Source organism: Homo sapiens, chromosome 1 (genome assembly GCF_000001405.40).
Source record: "Homo sapiens chromosome 1, GRCh38.p14 Primary Assembly".
Classification (NCBI taxonomy): Eukaryota; Metazoa; Chordata; class Mammalia; order Primates; family Hominidae; genus Homo; species Homo sapiens.
In genome coordinates this window covers 144,623,887-144,633,000 of record NC_000001.11, presented here as the reverse complement: position 1 = coordinate 144,633,000, position 9,114 = coordinate 144,623,887, and the positions used below count along the sequence as shown (strand labels likewise).

General features: G+C 32.5%; 1 long non-coding RNA gene across 4 annotated transcripts; it reads left to right on the top strand.

Moving 5' to 3' along the window:
• The first annotated feature begins 413 nt into the window (after positions 1 to 413).
• Positions 414 to 9,082, top strand: LINC01632 (long intergenic non-protein coding RNA 1632). Of its 4 annotated transcripts, XR_001737747.2 has the most exons (5): positions 414 to 507; positions 2,139 to 2,257; positions 4,388 to 4,464; positions 5,767 to 5,854; positions 6,271 to 9,082. It is a non-coding gene; the product is annotated as a long intergenic non-protein coding RNA 1632 (long non-coding RNA). The 4 variants fall into 4 exon arrangements; XR_001737748.2 differs by lacking the exon at positions 4,388 to 4,464 and having other exon boundaries at positions 445 to 507; XR_426815.4 differs by lacking the exon at positions 6,271 to 9,082 and having other exon boundaries at positions 445 to 507; positions 5,764 to 6,241.
• The last annotated feature ends 32 nt before the right edge of the window (positions 9,083 to 9,114 follow it).

Below are 9,114 nucleotides of genomic sequence, written 5' to 3'. Positions count from 1 at the left end.
AGTTTGAGGAATTCACTACTCACACTTTCTTGAACAGTCTATCCAAGTGCATCAAGCAAAATGTGAGTAAAGAAATTTTGAGCAAAGGATTGATAGTAATGTTGAATACATTTAATAGTAGATCAAAGATTAAAAGGTGAAAGTGAGGGTGAGAAGAGTGTATGAATGCTTTGTGTTCTGACAAAGAGAATGTAGCACCCAGGTCCTACCTGCTTGGATGCATTGCCGGTGCCCACGGTAGGCCATTTTATCCAGGTTTTTAGGTATTGTCTTATTTTGTTTGTTTTTTTTCTTTTCAGGAGTGTTAGTCCAAGACCAATAACTCCGTAACTGGTAGATTTGGAAGACTTTAATAGTGCTTAACATTTTGTACATAGCTTTATAACAGTTTTCTTTTTCTTTTTTTCTGAGAGATTCTTTTCAATATGCCCCATCATGGTTGAACTCAAAAATCATTGTTTATTTAAAATCTACAACTGCTGACGTTTTGTAACGTTCGCATTCCAGGTAATTGCTTTTTTGTGCATTTTCTGTATTTTTCTCCATCAGTCTACCTAGATATTTGTTAGATTTAATATTTTAATATTTTTCTGAAAAAGTGAGCTTTTGCATTTTTAAATATATACCCAGTTGCTTTAATTCTGCTTTTTCGTGTACTATTTCCTCGTTTTTTTCTTTCTTGTTTTTTGGGTTTTTTTTTCTGACACGGAGTCTTGCTCTGTCGCCCAAGCTGGAGTGCAGTCGCGTGATCTCTACTCACTGCAACTTCCACCCCCCACGTTCAAGCAATTCTCCCACCTCAGCCTCCCGAGTAGCTGGGGTTACAGATGCATGCCACCATGCCAGGCTAATTTTTGTATATTTAGTAGAGAGTGGGTTTCACCATGTTAGACCAGGCTGGTCTCGAACTCCTGACCTCAGGTGACCCACCTGCCTCGGCCTCCCAAAGTGCTGGGATTACAGGCGTGAACAATGGCGCCTGGCTATCTCCTTCATTCTTTATGTTTATTTTACTGCTTTTATCTCTCTCTCTCTCACTGTTTCTCTCCTTCTCACATTCACTTTGCAGTTGTCAAATAGCCCAGGTGATTTTACAGATTTACTCCTTATAAAAGGAGGCATTACACATTACACATGTATCTTAGTGGCCTCACAAAAGTGTTTGGTTTATTTGTAGTGACTATTCACCTTTAAAATATTTCAATATTCAATAAAATGGCTTCCAACCAATATTATTACACTTATGTTTCTAACTTTCGTTTTTGTATTGATATCTGCCTTCATTGCTGTTTGTTTAGGACGTATATTCTGTGTCACGTTATTTCCGTGAAAATTGTTTGAATTTGTGGTATGGTCTAGAAAATGTTAATTTTTGTAAGTATTCTGTATGAACATGAAAATAACATGAATTATAATATTCAAGTTCCTTATATAATATTTGCCCGTTTTAAAATCCACTAGCTTCTTTTAAAACTTACTCTTTTAATTTTTTCTTTTATCTATTACTGAAAGACGTGTGTTTGAAATGTCTATAATATTTGGGGGCTTATCCATTTCTACTTACTTTCTGATATTTTTGCTTTATATAATTTGACTCTCTCTCTAAATACGTGTGTGTATGTGTGTGTGAGAGAGTGTGTGGTTTGTGTGTATATATATATGTATGTATCAGGCTAATACACATTTAAGTCATCACATCTTCTTAATAACTTAAAACTTTTATCACACTGGTTACACTAACTTATTTTAATAAATGTTTCTAACTTACATTCTATTTGGTCTACATAGCAACTTTTTAAAAAATTATATTCATGTAGTATGTTTGTATGTATATCATATATACACAGTATCTGTATTGTTTGAACTTCAAAGTTTCTGTAAATTTATATATTAGTTGTGTCTCTTGTAACTATGATAGAGACGGATGTTTTAAATTTTGCCAATCTTTGTATTTTAACAAAAACATTGTCTACTTAGGTTTAAGTTAATCTTTGATCATTTATACTTAATTTTGTATTAGTAATTTGTTGTGTATATATATATATATATATATATATATATAAAATGTCTCATTTTCTCCTATCACTTTCTGTCTTCTTGTTTTAAAATTATGACTTTTATTTTTATTGTTTTCATAGATACAACAGAGAAATGCATAATGTCCAGTCAATTTATTAAAGTTCCAAAGTCGGTCGCGCGCAGTGGCTCACGCCTGTAATCTCAACACTTCGGGAGGCCGAGGCGTGTGGATCACGAGGTCAGGAGTTGGAGACTAGCCTGATCAACATGGTGAAACCCCGTCTCTACTAAAATACAAAAATTAGCCAGGCAGGGTGGCACGCGGCTGTAATCCCCGCTACTCAGGAGGCTGAGGCAGGAGAATTGCTTGAACCTGGGAGGCAGAGGTTGCAGTGAGCGGAGATGACGCCACCATACTCCAGCCTGGGAGAAAGGGTGAATGAGACTCCTTCTCAAAAAAAAAAAAAAAAAAAAGAGTTGCAAAGTCATACCTTTCTGCTCTTGTCAGACAATTAAGGGGTCTTTGAATACTTCAGCCCTAATAATTTGCTTCCTAACATACATATTGCAGTGCTTATCTAATTTTAAATATTCTTTTGTTTCAACACCTAATTTTCTATTTTGATCTATCTTTATGTTTACAATATATTTTGCTCTGTGTTCATTCTTTGATTTCAGAACTTCAATCTTTCTGAAGCGTGTTTTCAGAGTTTCCTTTGAGTTTCTTTAGTGGAATTCTGCTGGTGGTGTTTTGTTTTTTGTCTCTAAATATGTGATTTAGCCATAGGTTGATGAATATTTTTCTTGGTTGAGGATTTCAGAATGGCATTATTATTCTTAACAAATAATATTGTTTATTTTACCTTTCATGCTTTCAGATTTCAATATGATTAAAGGTAATTTGATTTTTCTAGTGCTAATTGAAATATTTTTCCCTTCCTGATTGTTTACTATTTCTCTAGGAGATATGTAGATGTAGGTTTATCTCCATCGTAGCTTGCTTAGCATGCATAGAAGTTTTGAATATGTGGATTAGTGTCTTACAAAACTCTAGAGAACTTTCAGCCAAAATACCATCACATATTGTCCCTTCCCCGTTCCCTTCCTCTATGAGAACACTCACTAAACACATGCTACACTTTCTCACTGTATCTTCCATGTCTCTTCATGATTCTGTCCACATTGTGCCTTTTTTTAAATTTTCTGTAATGCATTCTGAAATATTTATGAGCTCTCACCATGGCCATGTCTAATCTGATGAGTTCATTTTTGAGTTTTTAATTTAAAATACTACATACAAACTACTTTTCAAATTTACTACATCAACTTTTTAGTCTCCTAAAAATATATTCCTTTTTTTAAATTTTTTGAAAGCAAATGTGCTTTATAATCTAACAGTGATATTTCTACTAATGAACCTCTGTGGATCTGTTTGTACTCTTTTTCTGCTTTCCTTTCAAATGGTGGAATATCATTTCCTTGCGTACTTAGATGCCTTTGAATGACAAAGATTTATTTTTCTCTGAAAATTATTATTGTGCACTTTTGCATATTAGTAAGAAGAAAATTTGCCAAAGAGAATTTGAATTTTTTGTGAGTCTACTAAAGGCACCACCATTCTGGGACCACATTATATTAATTCTTGGCCTAAAGGTGTTTGGACGTATGTTTGGACAGCACATTTAAACAATTTTTAAATTAATTGCTGTAAATCATTAATGATTGAGTTTCTTTAAATCTGTCCAATCTCAAGTCATTTTTATTTGCCATTTCCAGGGAATGTGAAATGAGACTAATTTACCTCTGATTCTTCTTTATACTGAGGAGATAAATTTTGGTGCTAGCTTTAGGGAAGAGCTCCTGTGTGATGCCCTATCTTGGGAAACACTATGTATTTCTTTACTGTCCTATGTGATGTATGACCATAGGAATCTGCACTCATTCATTTTGCTACATGTCCGTAGGGCAAAATCAGTATCAGTGTTTAGGTGTATTTTGTCTGCTCCCTGCATTCCCATGGTTTTGACCTTATCTTTTACTTTTTTTTGTGAACATACCAATGCTTCAATTTTTTTCCAGTAATATAATCAACTATACTATAAGAGAAAAATTTCGATAAAACACAAATTTCATGTTTTCCTACTCTAATTGGCTTTTACGTAAAAATACAGGTAAAATTTATTTGTGCTTTTTTGCTATTTCTGTTTTGCTATTTTCTGTTTGTCTATGTCTTCACCACATAGACACAATTAGGGAATGTTGTACACTCTTGTGCCAACTGCTTTGATAGTAACAAAATGTATTTCTCGAACTCCTAGGTATAAAACTCAAGTATCCACTATTTAAATTCTTTTTTGCTCACTTCTAGTATGTTTCCAGTCTCAATAGAAATCGATGCCAATCCAGAAATACAAGCATTATTCTAATACTTCTCACACATTACTGGTATGGATGACATTTTCTAGATCTCCTTAAATACTATCATTTTTCACTACTTGTATCTTAACTGTTAAGTTCAACATTTTCTGTAATATTAATATATTGTGAAAATTTCCTTTCTTTCTTATTTGTCCCAGGTTCAATGTTTTGCAGTCTCTACCTCACCCTGTGAAGCATAAACATTGTACATGCTGTACAAATAATACATCGTTCATGTACTTAGAGATTGCACAATTTTTATTTGGTTGACAATAGCTAATGTTTTCTTCTTCATTTTCTATTTCCTGATTTTTCTTTATTTAGTATATACTACACTGCCATAAAAATAAGAACGTTTTACAAACTAAAGCAAAAGGAACCCTAGGAATAAAATGCACAAATAAAATATATAAACATACGTTTAGATGTACCACGTACACTTGTAATTTATTTAGACTTTTAATTTTAGTACAATTTTAATTAAAGTCTGTGTATTATCTGTCATCGTCTTAGTATTTTTTATATAACAAATTGTGTAAATCAAAAAGTATCAATGTCATTGTAAACTATCTTGGCAGAGGTTGATCTCCAAGGAATAATTTCTCTCCTAAATTATGCCAATCCAAATTTCACTCTACCGTCATTCTTTTCATCAGTTTCAGAGGAATAATAAATTTCAAAATTGTTCAAGGTACTTCTTTTAGTTCAAGTAACATTTGACAGGTGTAAAACTGTAGACAGACTGATACAAACGTATTCTAATTGACTCAAAATTATATGGGACCTATTTTAAAATCTAGATTTTAAAATGTCGTGTCAACATACACATGTTCTCCTTGTGAAATAATTGTTTTTTATTCTCTGGATAGAATAATTTAATCTTTAAACCTTCCATTCACTCTTAGAAACAATATATTACATAAGGATATGCTTATAAAAATAATTCCCAACTAGCTTTTCAGTTCAGAAATATATGTGAAGAATCATCAAACATCTAATGGATTTCAAGGAGAAATGGGTTAGTAATTTATTCCATATGTCTCAATTTTTCCTAGACTCAAGGCTTCCTTTAAAATAATTGTAGGCATTTAAGAAACCATGCAAACTAAAAAGAAGAAACTGTGACGCTGCCGCTTAGGCTTTTTAAGTCTTTGGACATGATACAATATATTTTTTAAATTGTATCTTAATTAGACATTGTGAGTTCACCATCTTCCTGTCAATACAGCAACCAAGCTGATTATCATAGATTACAAGTTCAACTATCAACTGTGTTCTGAGAGTCTAAAAAAATAAATGAACGTATTTGTTTGGGTATTCTTAAAGCAGGAGTGAGGACACAGCGAAAGTGAGACAAGGAAAAGAGAACAAAATAAAACAGGAAAGACAGAAAAGCCAATACCACACGTGTTAAGAGGTAAGTTCCTGTGTTAGATATCTGGGCTTAATTTTATGGGAAGCTATGTGGAGCATGCCTCAGAATTACATCACTGAATCCAGGGAGATTCTTCTTAGTTACCCTCACCTTTTCTTCCCACTTCATGCCCAGTAACAAGCTCCCGTGCTGCTAGAGAAAGTCCTCAGCTAGAAACTGGTGCAAATTCTGGAGATGAGACCTTGTAGAGTGTTAAGAATGGTTTTCTTCCCAGCAGCTACAGCTAAGGAATAGGGGCTGGGCTATGAATACATCTGCTACAAACCAATAAAGCCCTTATGCTCCTTTTGGTGATCGACAATGTATTTAAAAATATTAGATGATCAAGAAGGGCTGCAGAAAGGAGGAAACAGAAACAAACAGCACACCTCTTGGTTTATTTTTTTTCATTTCATCAGTTTCAAGGAAAATATGTTGGGAGTTCCTGGCATAGAGAATGTCACAAAGACATGTTTTCAATAGTAGTGCTATCCCGAGGGCAGAGAAGACCCAGAGAAAGCCCAAGTGGCTGCTGGAACAAAATCAGACACCGTGCCACCTGTCCACACTCCTTGGCTCTGCCATCATGCTGAAGATCGCTTTAAAGGACTGGCTTCCCTCCCCCCAAAATTAAAAGAGCACAGACTGAGAAACTGAATGTGGGAGACAGCAGTGGATTATGCTGTTCTCAGGGGTCACCTCAGGTTTGGAAGCATTCTTTCAAATTAACCCATCTCAGGCCATCTGCAGAGAAGAAAGGTGGTACCTAACTTTTTTTCTTGTCGGCATTTGGTAGGGGTGTTTTATTGACCAAATATGTTCCCACAACCTAGTTTTTTGTGACTAACTAAATATAGTAGAGTTTTAAATTTTATCATCAAAATCTATAGACAATTTTTGATGAAAATAGACTCCATCTCTATGTCCTGCTTTTCTTCTTCTTATTAATTACATTGCTGTATAAAAGAACAAGACTTCAGCATCAAGAATATCTTGTCTCTTGGCATTGAATTTATACAAGGTGCTCTTTCTTTAATGCTGTCTCAAAGGACATATTTTTACTCATTAAAAAGGAAGATCGGAATCTAGTTGTATGCACTGCTCCAACATATTAATAATTAAAATTAGGAGGTAAATGTGGTCAAAGCTATAGAAAGACTGAGATGTCATTTATATGGATTACTCTATAGCACTCTACAAACAGAAATTGTTAAATAATAGTTTATATAAATATTTTGTAGCATTTCAAATATTTGAGTGCTTGAAGTTTCTCCTCTTCTATAGTTCAGATTATCAATTTGAAGACTTACTCCGCTAGTTAATATGTTTTTAGTCTCGTTTGAGTATTATATAAAAGCAATTTTCAGTTAAATGTGTTCCGCTTACATAAAACGTTACAAATTATTGAGGATTTAATTACTTATTCATGTTCCTGTAATGTCTTTAGAAGATTTTCTTATTATTACCTATCAATATATGTATGCTTTGTCAAAGAAAAATCAAACATATATATCATTGAAATTGAAACTTTTTAAAAGTACTTATTAATTCTATTGAAAAACCACATCCATAGGAACAATTACAATATAATATTGTGAACATGTAAACATATACCCTATGTCTATTTTATGTATAAGCATGTATGATTAAAAATATAGTGAAGAATTTTTAAACCTAGTATTATAAAGTAAAAATTAGTTAACTTCTGATGATTATTTGTTAATTAAGATAAAATTATTTTGATTTGGGTGATTTTAAATAAAGAAAAATATTAAATTACATGACAAAAATTCTTTATAAAATGTTTATGATTTTTACATTGGTTTTATCACTTTTCCCACTATTTTATTTTAAGATGACCTGCCTTGTTTAAAACACTGTATTCATCTTAGTTAAATTAGATTCCATTTGTAAAATAATTAACAAATGATTTGCTCTATTGTACAGTGCGGTTATAAACTGAGTCAGTATCTCAAGATTTGATCCCCATTATCATCATCTGTGGCCCTATTTGTTTTATAAATGTATTGTCTTTTTCCATGCCTGTCACATCTCTATTGCTCTTTCATTTTTCTCTTTGTCCCTTATAGGGAGCATTGCCTATCTCTAGATTAAGCAAAAGTTGCATCATAAAAAAGCACAATAACCTGCTCAATCTTTCTCACACAGAGAAATGTTTGTTAAGTAATTAAAGTGTAGATGATGATACAAAGAGCTTGATTAAATTAGATGCCAAAGTACCCTTGTGATTCAGAATATGAATGGTATTTAATTTCTTTGAAATCATTAATTGCTGAGTGAGATTAATTAATGCCAATATTCCAGAAGATGTTCTACTTAGTGAAATGTATACAACGAAAAGCACAATAACCTGCTCAATCTTTCTCACACAAAGAAATGTTTGTTAAGTAATTAAACTGTAGATGATGATACAAAGAGCTTGATTAAATTAGGTGCCAAAGTACCCTTGTGATTCAGAATATGAATGGTATTTAATTTCTTTGAAATCATTAATTGCTGAGTGAGATTAATTAATGCCAATATTCCAGAAGATGTTCCAGTCAGTGAAATGTATACAACGTGCAAAAGATTCAGAACTCTGAAGGGCAACATTATTCTATAATTAAGAATTAAGAATGAATTCGCATTAATTACTGGGGAGAAATACTTTTTAAGAATTAATGACTGAGAAAATGTTTTTATTTTTTATTTAGAAAATTATTTTGTGCATGAGCATTACCGCAAGTTTTGCAAGAAACATAAATTTAAAGAAACAATTATGTGCACAAGATGAATTTAATAACATCTTGATATATTCCACGATTGCGGTTTTATTTGGTAAATCTTTCAAGGCACACCATTTAAAGAGAATAAATGAGTCTTGGAAATCTTGTAGGTAAGGGTAAATATTAGGATGCATCCAGTTACATTTACACACACATACAGTTACATTTACACACACATACACGCATACAGACTGAGTCACGTGTGTGTATATATATATATGAATTTACCAATTGATGTTAACTAATATTTATAAGAGCCAGTTGGATTGATATATATTGTTGAACCTGAAAAATATTTATTATATACATGTTTAAAATACACACAGAAATAAATAGCAATTGCACTAGGCATTTGAAACTGTACTAAAATATAAGCTGTGAACATTTTGTGATCATTACAAATTCTTACACTGAATAAATATTTTTATTTTTACAATATTAATATGTTTGATACCTGTGTATATTTTTTTACAATGT